General features: G+C 47.8%; 1 protein-coding gene across 1 annotated transcript in view, besides 5 other annotated features; it reads left to right on the top strand.

Annotated features, from left to right (window-relative positions):
- The window catches only part of C3orf70 (chromosome 3 open reading frame 70), a 76,223-nt gene extending 66,107 nt beyond the window's left edge, over window positions 1-10,116 (top strand). The window contains exon 2 of the mRNA NM_001025266.3: window positions 3,391-10,116. Coding sequence (NP_001020437.1) covers window positions 3,391-3,947 — 557 coding nt within the window. The 3' untranslated portion in view covers window positions 3,948-10,116. The remainder of the gene's footprint in view (window positions 1-3,390) is intronic.
- Window positions 5,786-6,285: an enhancer, noted in NCBI's record as "H3K4me1 hESC enhancer chr3:184798457-184798956 (GRCh37/hg19 assembly coordinates)". NCBI's record gives its function as "activates a minimal SCP1, AML or CMV promoter by ChIP-STARR-seq in primed H9 embryonic stem cells {active_cell/tissue: H9 hESC(primed)}" and the evidence as "EXISTENCE:reporter gene assay evidence [ECO:0000049][PMID:30033119]".
- Window positions 6,286-6,787: an enhancer, noted in NCBI's record as "H3K4me1 hESC enhancer chr3:184797955-184798456 (GRCh37/hg19 assembly coordinates)". NCBI's record gives its function as "activates a minimal SCP1, AML or CMV promoter by ChIP-STARR-seq in primed H9 embryonic stem cells {active_cell/tissue: H9 hESC(primed)}" and the evidence as "EXISTENCE:reporter gene assay evidence [ECO:0000049][PMID:30033119]".
- Window positions 11,338-11,838: an enhancer, noted in NCBI's record as "H3K4me1 hESC enhancer chr3:184792904-184793404 (GRCh37/hg19 assembly coordinates)". NCBI's record gives its function as "activates a minimal SCP1, AML or CMV promoter by ChIP-STARR-seq in primed H9 embryonic stem cells {active_cell/tissue: H9 hESC(primed)}" and the evidence as "EXISTENCE:reporter gene assay evidence [ECO:0000049][PMID:30033119]".
- Window positions 15,751-15,958: a silencer, noted in NCBI's record as "fragment chr3:184788784-184788991 (GRCh37/hg19 assembly coordinates)". NCBI's record gives its function as "represses an EF-1alpha promoter that drives an FKBP-Casp9 reporter gene in an ReSE screen in phorbol 12-myristate 13-acetate-treated (for megakaryocytic differentiation) K562 erythroleukemia cells {active_cell/tissue: K562(+PMA)}" and the evidence as "EXISTENCE:reporter gene assay evidence [ECO:0000049][PMID:32094911]".
- Window positions 17,034-17,534: an enhancer, noted in NCBI's record as "H3K4me1 hESC enhancer chr3:184787208-184787708 (GRCh37/hg19 assembly coordinates)". NCBI's record gives its function as "activates a minimal SCP1, AML or CMV promoter by ChIP-STARR-seq in primed H9 embryonic stem cells {active_cell/tissue: H9 hESC(primed)}" and the evidence as "EXISTENCE:reporter gene assay evidence [ECO:0000049][PMID:30033119]".

Below are 18,016 nucleotides of genomic sequence, written 5' to 3'. Positions count from 1 at the left end.
AACCCTTCACAGCCCTATAAAACTATATCTTTGAGTTTAATTATTTCTGTGTTTATAAACAATATAGTATTATGTAATGATTGATATTTCAAAGGTGATTACTAAAGGTTGTTTTTTTATGTGGCCATCTTTACTATTTTCCTCCTCTCTTTCTTTGCATCCCCATATCACCAGATAATAGGCTCTCACCCTCGCTCTGAGTAAACACATTTAATAGACGTACCTTGTAGAAAGAAGTGGAATCTGGTTCACATCTTCCTCACCCAGCTGCATTTCTCTCTTACTACATGTCCTGGTCAGTTTGGGCTGCTATAATAAAATACCACAGACTGGGTGGCTTAAACAACAAACGTGTATTTCTCACAGTCTAGAAGCTGAGAATTCTAAGAGTGAGGCAGAAGTCAGTGTCTGATGAGGACGCTCATCCTGGTTTGCAGATGCTGTACCCTCACATAGAGGAGAAAGGGATCTGGTCTCTTCCTCTTCTCATAGGGCACTAAACCAATGATTAGAGCCTCCACCTTCTAAACCTCATCTAAACCTAAGTACTCCTCCAAGGCCTCACCCCCAAATACCATCACACTGGGGATTAGGGTTTCAACATGAAGTTCGTGGGGATACAAACATTCAGTCCACAGCACTACACTTTCAAGAAAGAAAAACAGAGCTTTGGATGAGTGGGGACCAGAGAAAGAGTAGAACCAAGAGGAAAGAAAGCAAAGAAATTATGAAGAAGCATAAAGGAGGGGAAGGAAAAAAAAAGAGATGGAGTGAGGAAAGTCCCAAAGCCGGGCTTCACCTTTTCCCTCTATCTTTGGACAAATAAAGCCTTGTTCCCTCTGGATCTGAGGATGGTTCTGGAAGGCATGAATCAACTACGAGGATCCTCCTGTGGCTGTGACAGTGGATAACTAAACCACAGGTTACTTAGGGCAGGATGAACCTAATCAGCATATACAACAAGCACATCTTGACTGCCTGCCTTCCACAGCCTCCTGAGCTCAGTAACTACCAGCCAAGAATGAAAAAGACGAAACCTTCATTCCGCGTTTTATTTACCACTCTGTGGACAGAAGAGTAGTTCCCCAGGTTCTCTAAGTCCGTTCTCTATCCCGTGCCCATACATTGCTCTAATCCTGGGGCTGGAGGGTCTGGAGGGAGGCTTAAAGGTCAGCCTTCTTTAGCCCTTCAGCCGATAGTGTCCACAGTGCTTAGGGGCAGAGGTCCTACCATACCACCTCTTACATCTGACCTGATTTTAACTCTGCCTGACAAGTAGTAATTACCTTTTAAAGAGCTGGAGAAATGAAGACGCCTGGTATATTTTAAACATAGTTCCCCCAGGCAGGTGTGACTGGGTTCTTCTCAATGCGTTTTTATCAGACTGCGGGGTTTGCATGAGGTACGTCCAGGCTTGGAAGCACCCTGGGAACCCAGAGGCTTAACGACTTTAAATGTACTTTTTTCATATGGTACCCCAGGATGAAAATGAAGGTCTTTTTAGAGTAATTTGGTTATAAAGAAATTGTGGTACCTGAGTGGCTTTTTTGTGCAGGAGTCAAAAAACAAAAAATATAAGCAGGCTTGATTGATCTTAAGAGATTACTGATGTTGCATGATTTGTGGCCTCTTTACTACTTCATTTCTAATCTGAAATTGCTACTCTCCTGTGGCATCATTAACATTATAAAACCTAAGCTAGTTTTCCTTACAAATGTGATTCCTGTCCTAGGATTTCCAGTCTGACAAAGAAATAAACAGGAGCAAGTACCATACACATGAGTAATTCGCCTGCAAAAAGATGCTCATGAAGATACCATAAATCACTGGTTCTTAATCAGGGTGATTTCACCCGTTGGGGAATTTGTCTCATTTGAGAAGGAGCTGCTACTGGCATCTAGTGGGGAGAGGCCGAGGATGCTGCCTAGGATAGACAGCACCCCTCCCCACCACGATGAAGAATTATCTGGTCCAAAATGCAGGTAGTGCTAAGGTTAAAAGCCCTGTCAACAATGTGCAGAAGATACAACATGAACCGATAAATTGGCTAAATTAGGAAAAATTCAAAATGATGCCCACAATTGTGGCTACTTGTCTCTGGGATTTTTAGGAGCCCCCATCCCTGCTTTAGCTTTTTGTTTTGAAATCACTTTAGACTTACAGATTGGATATTTTCAGCCCTATTTCCTTAGCGTGTGGGAGGCTTTGCTAGATGTTGAATGAAAAATGGGATGAGGACCAAATCCATTTAGGTTTTACTTCCATGTCAACTATGTGGGAAACAGTTGAGGGCTCAGAGCAGAGAGGAAGGCTTGGAGATAAGCTTGTGGGCTTCCTAGAAACATCCAGCAGGGTGTCCTCTGCATCCCTCTGTGTGTTTGCCCTTTGCTTCTGCTTGGCTTAGGTCGCTTAGTGCCAGTGGAATTGGTGTCGGGGAGGGGTGCGGGGGAGACACCTCCTGATTAGGCCACTGATGAGCTTTGGTCCTCAGAGAAACCATTTCCCACCCTAAACTTTACCCCAGTCATTGAGGGTGGCCGGGACAATCCAGTGGGCCACTACCTATTAAATAAATATGTAGGTGTATGTATCTTATAATTAGAACATAGACACCTGGAAAGTGAAAATCTCCCATAATTCTGATGATAAACTTACATACATTTAAAAACTGGAAAAATATATACATTAACACAAACATTATTAGAGATAAACATGGAATTATAATTTTACAGTACATTATACTGTTTTACAACTTGGTTGTTTTTTTTTTTGAGACAGGGTCTCACTCTGTCGCCCAGGCTGGAGTGCAGTGGCACGATCTCGGCTCACTGCAACCTCCGCTTCTGGATCAAGGGATTCTCGTGCCTCAGCCTCCCGAGTAACTGGGATTACAGGCGTGTGCCACCATGCCCAGCTACGTTTTGTGTTTTTAGTAGAGACAGGGTTTTGCCACGTTGGCCAGGCTAGTCTGGAACTCCTGACCTAAAGTGATCTGCACATTACAGGCGTGAACCACTGCGCCCGGCTGTACAACTTGTATTTTTTACCATGCTATATTGTGGACCTTTTTTGTTCTAGTATAATGAGTAAATTACTTAAAGTTGTCTGTAAAATAAGGATTATAGTGTCTATCCACCTACTTCAGAGATATCAGAAAGACACAAATATAAATTGAGATTTAGAAAGTCGATTGAGTCTTTTAGATGAAAATTATTATATACCATGCTGACTTTTTCATTGACTATACCAATGTTGAATGATTTTATTACTAGTTTCTTTTGAGGTGTTACTGAAATATTTTTAAAGACATTGAGTCCTCAGAAACCATTATGGCCATGTTAATATAGTTTGTGTAATATAGATTTCAAGTGTCTTTTTGTGTCTTCACAGGCAAATACATGTATCAGCCTATGACCCCTGTGGAACAGCTTCCAAGCACTGAGATTCCTGCCAGGCCTCGGGAACCCACAAACACCATTCAGATCTCAGTCTCGCTCACCGAACACTTTTTGAAATTTGCATCTGTCTTCCAGCCTCCCCTTCCCCCTGACTCACCGAGGTACTGTATGATTTCAGACCTTTTTATTGACAACTATCAGGTTAAATGTATTAATGGGAAGATGTGTTATGTGCAGAAGCAGCCGGCACCACATTCCCACAGAATGAGCCCTGAGGAGGTCTCTGCACACGATGCCTTAATTTCAAAAGAGAGCAATACACCAAAAATAGATCACTGCTCTTCTCCCTCAAGTTCTGAGGACTCTGGGATCAATGCGATTGGGGCTCACTATGTGGAATCGTGTGACGAGGACACAGAAGAAGGAGCAGAACTGAGTTCAGAGGAAGATTACAGTCCAGAGAGCAGCTGGGAACCGGATGAGTGCACCCTTCTCTCCCCCTCGCAGTCTGACCTGGAAGTGATTGAAACGATAGAAACGACTGTGTGAGAGTCCAGACAGGAAGCCACAGCCTCGGACCCACGCCGAGCTTTTGTACCTTTGTCTGGTGGATCCTTTTTTCCAATGCTGTTGATATTTTCTACCCACCCCGCCCCGCTCCAACCAACAACCGTAGCAGTTCAGTGGTATGCTGATTAGCTTCTCTCCGTCTTACAACTAAGACATTCTTTTTATTATAAACAGTTTTCTTTTGTATCCTGACTTACTTTCTATGTAGCATCTGGTGTCATGAATTGTGACCCCGCCTTAATTTCACTGGGAGATTTGAAGGCGGTGAAGTGATGGTCGCAGAGAATCTTGGATCAGATTGAGGAGGTACCGAAAGGGAAGGAGCCGGTGTTTTCTCGGTAGCCAGTCCTTCACAGAGACTCTTGCCATTCCCTTTGGCATGTTCACAGGCACTCCCGTCCTGTCCTGCTTGTCCTACGCAAGTAGCACTCCCTACTGAGTGTGCACTGGTAGATGCCGTTTCTTCCCTTCCCCTTCTCCCCACACCTGCACTGGGTCTGGATCAGAGCTGCCTCGGCTTACTTCTGGGAGGTCACTGGAGGCCAGCTCAGCCCATGGTTTGTGGCCAGTGTCTGTACAAGGCTCCGTGACTGGGGCTGAGCTAAACATTCACATGAGAAGAGATGACCTCATCTGTCTCATGCTCAATCCAGCCTTAGCTGAGCACCTGTCCCCTGCAGGGGGCTGTGGGGACACAGCATGAATAAGACCTGATTCCCACCATGAAGGGGCCCACAGTCCTATATATGACACATTCAACTCATGGCACCCAAAAAGCTCTGGGAACCCAGGGGAAGGATGAGGTTTACTTGGCTGGGGCTAGCTGGGGAATGTGTTTCAGCATTTGAGCTGGCTTCTTGGTGGGTTCCCCAACATTTTTCTGCTTTTAATTGTTCTTCAAGTCTGGGAAAAACTCTTAGGAAGTTATATAGGTATCACATTTAGGTGGCAGCCACATCTGACATCTTAAGGAAAAAAAATAAATTAATAGTTTTAGTTAGCATGGAAATGCTACAGACAGAAGCCCTTTAGGGATTAGGACTGAATCTAATAGGTTTGATTAATTCTGCTTCATTTGGTTGTATGAAGCATTCGTATGGTTTAAGTGAGGAATGGATTAGAATTCAGTGTGATGCATGGATTTTTATGCAGCTGCAAAAGCAGTTGAAATAGTTTGCTGCTAAGTCAGGAGAAAATATCCAGTGTAATAGCCATTCACTTTCCCACACAGTCTGTCTGTTGTATGTGTTCTCTCCCCTCACATGCACAAAATAGTGACTAATTCTTTCTTATTTAGCTCTCTTCAGAATTCTACTTCTACTCTCCATTTATACCAGGTATTCTTGTGAGTCAGTTAACTGCTATTTCTCCAAACCTTCTATCCATGAGGCATAGTTTCAAATCCTGGAAATTTTAAGTATGGCCTAATGAGAACATCAGAGTTGGAGACAGAACAGTACTTCCATCCTAACTATCCAGAAGCGCACTCTCAGGCCATTGTGCTCTGAGATTCCCTTGTGCTCTGGCACCATTATGGTACATCTCTACGTCACATTAATTTTTTTTTTTTTGAGATGGAGTTTCCCTCTTGCTGCCCAGGCTGGAGTGCAGCGGCGTGATCTTGGCTCTCTACAACCTCTGCCTCCTGGGGTCAAGCGATTCTCCTGCCTCAGCCTCCTGAGTAGCTGGGACTATGGGCACGTGCCACCACACCTGGCTAATTTTTTGTATTTTTAGTAGAGACGGGCTTTCACCATGTTAGCCAGGATGGTCTCGATCTGACCTTGTGATCCACCCACCTCGGCCTCCCCAAGTGCTGGGATTACAAGCATGAGCCACCACGCCCGGCCGGATTTGTAAGAAAAAGTTGTGTTCTCCCCTGAAGCCTCCATTTGGCATCATTCACAAACTACTCAAGGAAGAATTTGCTTTCCCAGTTGTATGTATAATTTAAGTCGTTTACTAGATAGAACTTTTTTTTAGGTTTAGATGGCCAAGACATCTATATGGTTTAGAAGGCAGAGTATACATTTTCCTTTGCAAACAGTATGAGTTAAAACTTTCTATGCTAAATGAGAATGCGGCATAAAGTCTCCACTTACTGAAATTTAAAGATTCAACAAGACAAACCGAGAAGGGGGTCAGAGGAGCTCTAGGAAAGGCCCAGGAGAGGGCAGTTGGAGGCAGGTGTGAGCATGAGGAGCTTCCCCCTGCCAGGGCATGGCTCAGGTGGCACAGGGACATCTGATGAACCCTGCCCGAGGTTCTCGGTGCCTCCCGTGCATGAGTGGCTCACTGAAGGCAGGTGTGGAAGCCAAATGCCTGCAAGCCGTGTGTCAGGCCACAGCAGTGCAGTCATGCATCACGCACTCAGGTTTGTAACAGCAACACCAGGGCCCTGTCTAGATTCACCCTGTGGGTGAGCCCGTTCTCCAGATGGGCGTATAAAGGGGCTTTCTCCTCTACACCGTTCCTGTCAATGTTCCGTACAGGCCCACATTCCCACCACTAAGCCAATGGAGTCAACCAGATTTCTAAAGCCATGGATATACGTGGTCACGGGGCCACATTTCTGCAGCTGGCTCAGTGGCAGGCTTGGGCCGTCTCTCAGTACCATCTAAGACTTCTGTCTAGGTTCCTGTTTTTTTAGACTCCTGAACTGCCATTCTGATTAGACACAATTTTAATGGAATTTTTGGATTTAATAATAGTTGATAATCACCTTATGTATTTGCACAATCTCTTTATAATTAAAAACTCGCTAAGCTTCACTTGCTACTATCTACTATATAGAATTAGAGACATTCCATTGGATTCTAAGCATCAGACACTCCTGGATCTCAAAATGACCTTTTCTAAATAAGCACAAGATTTATTTTTGTCCTAGCACTGTTGATAACACTCTGAAATATGTTATTGAACTGGAATTGTTTCTTTATGCTTGCATTCCAAAACCAACTGAAACAGATTGTAGTTTCACTTTAAATTCTAGGCCTGTTCTATATTATGTGAAGGAATTCTCTGTAACGCTGATACTATGTTGCTAATTTGTGTACTTACAGACACTTTAGAAAATGTTTAGACTGCAACATGCACTATAACATTGAACTCAGTCACATGAAGTGGTTAACACTTGCACACTGACTGACAGATATGAAAGCTGTATACTTTGGACCCAGTAATATGCTCATTGGAGCAAGGGTTGGGCTGTGTGGATGGATAAACTGCTTTCTTGGGTTTACATGGAAACCTGGTACCACTCCTACTTTTGGAAAGTTGGTATAAAAGCTATTAGGTAGAAGCTTAATTCCACTAAATGTAGAATTTAGTTTTCTTCTCTAACCAAGATTTTAGAAGTTTCAAGTTTCAAATATGCTTATAACTTTTCCAAGAAATGATGATTACAGTGCTTTTGTGGTTACAACTGTTTGGTATATTAAAAAATAAGGGTTTACTATCACATCTAGGTCTTTTTTACTATGTCATTTTTAAGATATGAAATAAGAATCTGAGGACAGCCCTGAAGAACAGTCCTTTCCTGGGAGGGGAAGACTTGTAATTCAAGGTCATACAATACAAAATAAAACAAAAACAAAAGCACCAAGAGCAGAACAAAACAACGTAGTTGCTTTCCTGAAATACTTTTTGGATTTGATTCTATCTTGGGAGTGGTGGCTTTACTTTTTTTTTTTTTTTTTTTTTTTTGAGACAGAGTCTCGCTCCTTCACCCAGGCTGGAGTGCAGTGGCGCGATCTCGGCTCACTGCCAGCTCTGCCTCCCAGGTTCATGCCATTCTCCTGCCTCAGCCTCCTGAGTAGCTGGGACTATAGGTGCCCGCCACCATGCCTCGCTAATTTTTTGTATTTTTAGTAGAAACGGGGTTTCACCGTGTTAGCCAGGATGGTCTTGATCTCATGACCTCGTGATCCACCCTCCTCGGCTTCCCAAAGTGCTGGGATTGCAGGCGTGAACCACCACGCCCGGCCGGCTTTACTTCTAATCCTCCACTTCTTGGTCTATTTGAACCATCACAAGTATTTTGGGACCGATAACAAACCCCTTTTATGCTAATTTAATTCTTGACTTGGGTAATAGGTGCACCTGGATAATTTATAAAGCTGTCCATAGATCTAAGTTTAGTGGTACAGATACTACTGGGCAGGAGAAAAAGCACAAGTTAAAATATTTCTACAGTCAGCTCTTAATATTCCCACATCTTGTTTGCAAAATTTTATGGTCACGTTCTGGCTTTTTTACATGAGGAAAACAAAGTTTTAACAGTTTTCTCTTCTGTCCCCTTCTCCAGAGGAGGTGTGAACCAGAACTGAGGAGGCCAGTTATATTTTAGGCTTTTCAGTAGTACGATTTTGTCCTCTCCCACTGAGGAGGAGGGAAGAAGGGGGAAGCCAGTGGGAGTTCCACACACGTGGTCAGTGCTGTAAGTTCCCGGATATCAGTGTCTCTCACATCAACACAGAAATAGGGCACTTCTCAACATTAATTTTGGAATTATTCACCATTTAAAAATTGTCACTGCTCTTTTTCATTACTGTAGATAACTGAGAGTTAGCTGTTCTAGGAAAAGGCCATGTTTCAGTTAGTGCTATGACTTCTTTTTTCGATTAAGGTTGAAGCAGTGTTCTCTTAGTAGCCTGAACACTTCTCAAAGCGACTTATCACTAGCGGCTTTAATATTGAGCTTCTATATCGTTGTGTCCACCTCACTTTTTAAGGCTGTTCATACCTGGCAATATTCACTTACTCTGCTATTTTTAAAAACTATTTTAAAGTTTTAAGCACAATGTTGACTCTTCTGTAATTTCCTAAAATTATATTGTTTTCCTACAGACAGCTCAACTTTCCTTGATATGTAACACTTTAGGAAAATAACTGCCTTGTAAAATAAACGTGATTTTTTTTTTCTTTTATACCAGAACAAATCTGCTGTTTTGGAGTGTACCCAACCCCAAAACCAAAACTCACGTTTGCAAAGTGTGAAACATTTATATATCAGGTCTTTCCTACGTGCTAGGAAATAGCGTATGGCCATTACCCCATTAAACCTTTACAAGACCTCAATGAGGTGCAGATAAACTGTACTGTCCGCAGTATCTACTCAGAGTCACCACTCATGATAACTCCCAGAACTCTGGCTACATTGGGTTTATAGCAAATAAAACTTGATACCCCCCCCCCACCACCACCAAATAGCATTTATTTCACACGCAGTTACAGCCTTTCTGTTCGGCTTACACGTGTCATGTGGGGCAGTGTTGGCTGCAGTTCTAACTGAAGATCAGGCATCGAGGGAGGCTGCTGCCCGGCAGAGCTTGGGGGGGTCGCTTGGTCACCAAGACTCAGGGGCCAGGCCTCAGCGCGGCAAGTCCATACTCAGAAAAGAACAGCTTCAAGGGTTGGAGTCTATTGAACAACCTTCCTAGGAACTGCTAAATAAAGTCATTATCAGTAATAAAATCCTTGTTAATATTAATTATAGTTCAATGGCTACCTTAAGCTTTCTATGCATAATCTCCACAGCAACCCTGTGAGGGAGATTAAAGCAGCCCCATTTCACAGATCAGGAAAAGAGCTCAAGAAGTCCACATCTTTACCCAGTGTGGCACAGCTCGTACATGAGTGGCAGTCAGGGTTTGAACCCGGTCACTTTGGCTCTAGAGTCCGCACTCTTGGCCCATTGTCTGCATTACTCCATCCCCCTAACCCAGCAGATACCTTCCCACAGACTAGTGCCTCGTCTACCTCAGTGCACCTGGTCCCAACACAGTGGAGGAGAAACACTGACAGGCTTCCCTCTTTGTCCCCTTCTCTGTCCTCCATACAGTGCCCCCCCACCCCGCACCCTATACCATGTCTCTGCAAATATCTCTATGCTCTGATGAGGCCATTGCTTCTTCCATGTTTAATCACCTCTTGACTAGCATTCAAGACTAGCTCTGCCTTTCCTAAAGCTAACTGATCTTTTAAAGTGATTCCTGCAGACAGCGCATCTCATCTGCGTGTGCACTCTACTGTTTTAACTCTCTACCTAATTGTATTGCCAAGTCCTAGAAGGCATCTCATTGTAGCCTCTTACAAATGCTGACTGCACACACTTTTATTCTGCAATAAACTTTAATTTAGCATCTCATCCTCATTACAATTCAGTCACTGGGAATTGGTAATGCCCTTAACCCTTACTGTCCCACCCTAGTTCTATGCTGAATGAAGGGAGTAAGAAGGATCTCTGGACTCAGCCTCCCTGCGGTAGGGTCAGGAAGGGGCAGTTAGAGGTCAGATGGAATTCTTCAGGAATCAGGGAGATACGGGAAATTGATGGAAATAAAAAGGCAAAAGGAATGTGCCAAGATTAATAGTGTTTGTTTTAAATTTTCTACTTTTCTGAAATGAAGATACAATTACTTTTACAATCAGAAACGACCCAGTAAGTTATTTTGACGATGTCAACTCCTAGGACAGTGAGTACACATGGAGTCTGATTTTGCTGGATCTGTGCCTGAAAGTGGGTTGAGGCCGTGGCCAAACCTGCTCATGCACCTGCTGGAAGAGACTAGCAGCTGGGCTGGGAGTGTGCGTCATGAAACTAATGGGCCTCCACGGAGGAGTGACCCCTTTCGTGGCTGGAGAGTTCATGGGCCAGGTGGGTTGGAGAAAGGGGTGAGGCTTCATTTCTTCCTGTCTTCCCCAGTCCCCAGCCTGAAGTTGTGTGTGACTCGAGATAGGAGATGAGAAAGCTTGGGATCCGGGGGGACCATCCTGGCCCTGTATGACACCTAGCTGGTCACCTGTTGTCAAACCCCAGTGATTCCTCCCAGGACAAAGATGATGACAAAATACAAGGCATCGTGGATCAGCAGAACACCACAATGTCTGAACAGGGACCTGCAGTTTACGTAGCATCTTCCCAGATGGCAGCTTATCTGCTAGACCCATCAACTCTGTGTGGTGGACAGGGCAGGGATATTGGCGAGTTTCTTGCGAAGCAGCCAAGAGTTAACTCTAAAGGTCACACGGCAGGAAGTGGCAAGGTCAGAGCCCCAGACTTCTGATTCCAAAGCCAGCCTTGCTGCTTTACCACTTGTTGAGCCGCTGCAACAAAACCCTGCCCTGCTTTGCAGCCCATTTTCTCTTCGCCCCACAGCTGAGGCCACGAGGGCATCCCTTGCCTCGAGGGAACTACAGCTCAGCCCTCAGGTATCGCCCGAGGTTGCCCTTGGTGCCACATCACTCTGTGCGCCAGCCTGGCTTGACCTGGATCTGAGTCTGTCCGGAGAACAGGCATGACCTCGTGCTCAAGCGTGGCCGCTGGGTCTGAGAACTCATCCTGGGAATTGGCCTCGGGTCGGCCTTTTTTTTTATTTTTATTTTTATTTTTTGAGATGGAGTCTTGCTCTGTTGCCCAGGCTGGAGTGCAGTGGCACAATCTCAGCTCACCACAACCTCCACCTCCCGGCTTCAAGCGATTCTTCTGCTTCAGCCTCCTGAGTAGCTGGGACTACAGGCGCCCGCCACCACGCCCAGTTAATTTTTGTGTTTTTAGTAGAGACGGGGTTTCATTATGTTGGCCAGGCTGGTCTCGACCTCCTGACCTTGTGATCCACCCACCTCAGCCTCCCAAAGTGCTGGGATTACAGACGTGAGCTACCGCGCCCACCAGGTCGGCTCTTTCAGCAGCAGCTGCTCCTGTCTCCCTCCCTCCTACCTCCATTGGGATTGGGACCTTTGATACCAATTGCTTCCCTCAACTATTGCATGTCCTCAGTAGCATCCGCTTTGGACTTGCCTCTCGGGCCAGTCTACTTCAGGCGACTGTGTAGATCCTGACTGTCTGATTACCTGGCCACGAGTGTCTCATACCTGCCTCAACCAGGACTGTGTGCAGTAAACAAGAGTACATTTCAGCCCTCATGTTTAGAAGCTGCCTGTGTGAGTTGCAATGCCAAAATTCACAGAGCAAATATAGGCACACCCATTTATCTGCAGAAGGACCTGGAAAAGCCATCCTGGTCTATGAGCATCACCACTCCAAGCGGTCGGACAGGACTCCGGAGCTCTCGGGAAAAGTGGGAAGGCCACACAGTACCAGGAGGGGAGGTTCACCGTGGGCCAGGTGTGAGCTGAACAGGGGATTCCCAGAGCGTGTTTTCCCTGAGAACCTGGAATAATGAGGCAATTCCAGCCTAATTCAGAGGCTGCACTGAGTATGTGGGAAGCACGTCAGATATTTGGGGTTCCCGGGGAAACCAAATGAAGATACCTCGGGAAACCAAATATCTGGATGAACATGGGGCACACAGTGGAGATCTCTGACGAGTCACCAAGAGGCCAGTGGAAGATCAGCCAGTCCAGCTAGAATTCACTGAGGTCCTTTCACATCACTGGGGGTCCAAAGAGGTCAGTCCTATCCCAAAGGGATTTTTGCTGTCCCCATCATCATTTCCAAGGGTCACAGGCAGTGAATTGCTAGAGCTATCCAGTGCCTTCTGAGTCAATCAGGGAGTCACCTGGGCCCACATTATGCCACTTAGAGAGGGACTGATGGGGTCACGGAGAGGCCAGCAGCGGTGAGTATAAAGGGAGGCAGTTACCTGGAAACCTCATCTCATGTGGAGATGAGGCAGGGGTGGTGTGGGGGTGGGGGCTATGGGCATGCTGGAGGAGGATGGGCCGACTCATTCATCTAGAGAGAAGAGGCTGGGCTGGGCACGGTGGCTCACGCCTGTAATCCCAGCACTTTGGGAGGCTGAGGTGGGTGGATCACGAGGTCAGGAGATTGAGACCATGCTGGCCAACATGGTGAAACAGTACCTCTACTAAAAATACAAAAATTAGCCAGGCATGGTGGCGTGCACATGTAGTCCCAGCTATTCAGGAGGATGAGGCAGGAGAATCGCTTGAACATGGGAAGCAGAGGTTGCAGTAAGCTGAGATCATGCCACTGCACTCCAGCCTGGGCAACAGTGAGACTCCGTCTTTTCAAAAAAAAAAAAAAAAAAAGAAGAGGCTGGGTTGGGCAAACCATCAGGCCCAAGTTTGCTAGGGGCTGGGATGTGGACCCCAAGACTACTAGGACCCAATGCTGACCTTTGAGATAGGCAAAGCACAGGGATCTGAGGGAACAGATGTCTGGAATGGGGGACTACAGCTTCTCTCATAAGTGCTTCAATGTGAGCCCAGCGTGGTGGCTCACACCCGTAATCCCAGCACTTTGGGAGGCTGAGGTAGGAGGATCGCTTTTGCCTGGGAGTTTGAGACTAAGCCTGGGCAACAAAGTGAGACCTCCGTCTCTGCAAAAAATAAAAAATAAACTAGCCGAGTGTCCACACCCGTAGTCCCAGCTACTTGGGAGGCCGAGGTGGAAGGATCTCTTCAGCTTGGGAGGTGGAGGTTGCAGTGAGCCATGATTGTGCCATTACACTCTAGTGTATGTGACACAGTGAGATCCTGTCTCAAAGAAAAAAAACAAAAACCTCAATGTGAAGCTGAGGTCCCCTCAGAGCACCCGGCCAGTTAGGCTGGACCCAACCCAGCCCCACCTAGCAGCTCAACAGCAGACCCTGCCAGGCTCTAGAGCCAACCACACCCCTAGCTGGGGCAGAAGGCAGATGACAGGCCCTGCACTTAGGGTCAAGCTCAGGAAAAGACTGAGTATGTGAGCGCATGCGAGTACATGTCTAGCATGTCCCATCTTGCCTATCCTGTTGCCCCCGAAGCCGTAGAGGCTTGTTCATTCATCAGGCATGTATGCATTCAACAAGGTACTAATGACATTTACCCCCTGACCCTGCAAAAATCATTCCTAAGTCGGAGTCCTGTCCGACTGCTTGGAGTGGTGATGCTCATGGACCAGGATGGCTTTTCCAGGTCCTTCTGCAGATAAATGGGTGTGCCTATATTTGCTCTGTGAATTTTCGCATTGCAATTCACACAGGCAGTTTCTAAACATGAGGGCTGAAAATGTAGTCCTTTGTTTACTGCACAGAGTCCTGGTTGAGGCAGATATGAGAGGGTCGTGGCCGGGTAATCAGACAGTCAGGATCTACACAGTCGCCTGAAGTAGACTGGTCTGGGAGGCGAGTCCAAAGTGGATGCTACTGAGGACATGCAATAGTTGAGGGAAGCAATTGGTATCAAAGGTCCCAATCCCAATGGAGGTAGGAGGGAGGGAGACCGGAGCAGCTGCTGCTTAAAGAGCCAAGCTGGTGGGCGCGGTGGCTCGTGTCTGTAATCCCAGCACTTTGGGAGGCTGAGGTGGGTGGATCGCAAGGTCAGGAGGTTGAGACCAGCCTGGCCAACATAATGAAACCCCATCTCTACTAAAAACACAAAAATTAACTGGGCGTGGTGGCGGGCGCCTGTAGTCCCAGCTACTCAGGAGGCTGAAGCAGAAGAATTGCTTGAAGCCGGGAGGTGGAGGTTGTGGTGAGCCGAGATCATGCCATTGCACTCCAGCCTGGGGGACAGAGCAAGACTCCGTCTCAAAAAAAAAAAAAAAAAAAAAAAAACAACAACTGACCCGAGGCCAATTCCCAAGATGAGTTCTTAGACCCAGCGGCCACGCTTGAGCACGAGAAATGGACACCTACGGCCACCAAAAGACAGAAACAAAAATATTAACAGGCCAGTACTGGAAACAACCTGAATTCTCACTAACAATGGAACGGATGAACTATGGTGTAGCCAATCAGTGGGATGCTCTTCAGCCATGAGGATGAATAACACGGATAAGTCACACAGACATACCGTTGAGTGAAAGAAGCCATTTCCCAAGGGGGGCTTGATATACAACTCAATTGGTACCAAATTCCAGACAGGCGCAACGATCTACACTAGTAATCAGGGTCGTGGTTCACATGAGGGGTGTGGTGCGATGGAGGAATCCAGGGGACCTCTGGGTGCTGGTGACACCGGTGTGTTCACATTGCGAGTTAAGCTAGTGGTACACGTATGGTTTGTGAACGCTCTGTTCATAAGTTTACTCGATAGTGACTTAAAGGACAGCAACACGCACTCTGTCTCACCAAGCGCCTGGCATATACTTGGCACTCGGTAACTATTGACTGTGCCAGGGATGACACAGGAGTGAGCCAGACACAGTCCTGCCCTCAGGAGGAGTGGAGATGGGAAAACTCGCTTCCTCGGCATAGGTGTGGTGTGTCCCTGGAGCAGGTGGACAGGTGTCAAACTGCCGTTTTCCTTGGGGAAAGCTTTAGAGAGGACCCAGGATGTGGTGTGAGGAGACTGGTGGCAGAAAGATGGCCATGGATGGCCCTGAGAGAGGAGGCCCCTGGGATGGAGCCTCTGATCAGCTGGGGCCACCCATTGGGAGCTCAGACCCCCACCCCGGGGGCCTGGAGTCCGCCCCGCCTGGCCAGAAGATGGCACCGCAGGAAGCCTTTCCTGCAGCTCTGGGCAAGTCACGGACATCTGATTCTGGAGCTGCATCTTTGGAAAAACACTTTCAGCAAGCAGAGCTGAGTGGAAATACACTGCTTCTAGAAGGATTCCCAAAGCTCTGAATGATTTATTCACTGCAGTGTTCATTGATGAGGCCCCTGTGGGCTTTCCTCTTCCACAAGTAACATGTGACCTTTGTAAAGCATTTTCCCACACGTTGCTGGGACCTTTGCTGCAGATGAAACATCACTTTTATGTTCTGTATTTTTCAGAGGCCCAGTGCCTTGTTCGGCTCACACAGGGGCCATGATGGGGCTGTGCCTCGCTCTTCCCAGTGGGCCACACTGCCCCTCCTGGAGAGCTGGGCGAGTTTCCATCCCCCTGATGGCAGGAGGAAGGCGCAGATGCAGGGGCACCAGGGGTCCCTCCAAGCACCGCCTCCTTCACGCCACTGGCTAGGGTGTGAAGGCCGAGTTGCTCCACCCTCTCCCACAAACATGTCTCCTGCAGAGCTCCGTAGAATAAAGCAGGACAATCGTGAATTAGAGCAACGTTAGCGCCATGACAAGGGTTCCGTAAAGTCAGAACTGACTGGGTACAGGATGGGCCTGTCATCTGCAGGTGACTCCCCACTGATGGGCTCAGCTCAGGCTGTCGCCTCTCCTTCCCTGTCTACCTTCTCAGCGGGGAGGACAGTGCCGCCTACTCCATGAAGCCCTTCCCCTGCTGATTGAGTCGTCCCCGCACTGACCCACCGTGTCAGCCCTGCCAATTCAGCCTCGCCTTCTGTATGCCCGGCCAGATGCTGAGCAGGGCCCATCTCTACTCTGGGCAGACTCTTCCCTGAGCACACAGCACTTGAGAACGTAGCTGCCCCTGGTGGCTGCAGAGCTCTCTGCTGGACACAGAATGCTTCCTGTCCTCTGCTTCCTGGAACACTCACCCCAGAGCCTCCCTCCCACTCCTTCCCAGCCCCTGGGGCCAAGTCTGGTGCCTGTGTTTGGGTGGGAGAAGGGGGCACCGTGAACTCTGAGGTCACCTGGATGCTAGAATTCACTGACTCCAACATTCTAAGCTGCTGCTCAACTTCTGCAGGGATCTGCTCTGATTTCTGCGGAATGGTGACTTGCAGAGAACTTTGTTTTCTTTCTATTCCTTTGCTGGGTAAAGAAATGAAAGATTAGATCAGAAGCAAGATGGAGGAGTCCAAATTTTAAAAATAGGAAAAGTTTTGCACAGGTTCAGGTCCCTCCCGTGCCCTCAGCCGGCACACCCTCCACGTCACAATGTCTCAGGCTGTGTTGTGTGGGCAGGGTGTCACCTCTGTCCCCTCCAGAGGGGAGACCATGTCTGACCTACTCCCTGCTTGTCCCCATTGCAAAGGACAGCGCCTGGCATATACTTGGCACTCAGGAAATAACCACTGACCGACAGGCTCTGACTGTGGGCCTGAATTCAACAGAGTGGCTGCAGATCCTCACTGCAGCCCGCAGCGGGGAGCACCGGCCTCCCCAACACACATTTTTTTTTTTTTAAACAGAGTAGGAGACAGGCTGGTCATTTTTTCCAGGATTCCCCGGTCCTCACTCTGGGAATGTGACCGCACCTGCATAACCCCAGGGGTCAGCTTCTTTTAGTACGTCACACACTTCAGGGGCTGGGAAAGCAGCTGCAAGAGGGCACGCGAGACACGTGGCCCAGGAGAAGCCCTCCACGGTGGGCGTCCTCCTAGACAACCAGCACCCCCTGCAGGGCACCCTCGTCTGGCAGAATCAGCCCTTTCCCACCTGCAGGCCCTTCTCAGCGCCTCTGACTTCCCACACACACAGCACAGGTTACAAACTGGTCCCTGGCAGTGCACTCTAGCGGGCCTCTCTCACAAGTTCTGCGGGCCTCGTTTCAGGGAAAGCGGGTTGTGGATTCCTGCTGCCCTTGGATGGCCCCTGCGCAGCCACACCTCTGAGCGGGCACTGAGCGAGCGTGGGGAGCTGCTCCCTGGGAACTAGGCAGGAGCTTTTAAACACCCTTACACACAGCCATTCTGCGGGAATACATGCTTTCCCGGTAAGGCTTTTACTGTTCATTCCAGGTAAATTGGAAGTCGCACACCCCAAGCTCCAAATACAACTCGTTAGCTGGCAGGTCTCTGAAGCCAATTCCTTCTGAGGAAAATGGAGATAATAGCAGCTACCCTCCCAGGTGACTGGGGGAGAATAAAGTGGCTGTGCATAGTGGTGTTTGCAGCTGGTGGCTGCTATTATCCTTCATTACAGCTTGTAAAAAGGGTGTCTAGGCCATTTACACACAGATAGGCCGGGTGGGGTGTGTAACCGAGCTGGACTGATAACCACAGTGATTCTCAACCCTGCTGGTTCAGAAACCTCGCCCCGGGCCCTGCCTGGAAGCCCAGCAAGTTGAACAGAGCCTGCACACACACCCAGAAGCTGGCACACACGGGTTCCAGGTGGGGCAGAAGCCTGGGCCAGTTGTGGTGTCCAGATGCCACCCCACCCACCGTCCCTGCCACATGCCCCTGGACCGAGAGCCACATAAGCCAGAAACTCTGCCAGCGGCCCCAAGTCCTGAAGGAACCACACAGCCTGGCACCCCTCCTGCCAGAAAAGCCCTCCGAG

The sequence above is a fragment of the Homo sapiens genome, chromosome 3 (genome assembly GCF_000001405.40).
Source record: "Homo sapiens chromosome 3, GRCh38.p14 Primary Assembly".
Classification (NCBI taxonomy): domain Eukaryota; kingdom Metazoa; phylum Chordata; class Mammalia; order Primates; family Hominidae; genus Homo; species Homo sapiens.
The sequence above is the reverse complement of the archived record's forward strand: the minus strand, read 5'-3'. Positions and strand labels throughout refer to the sequence as shown.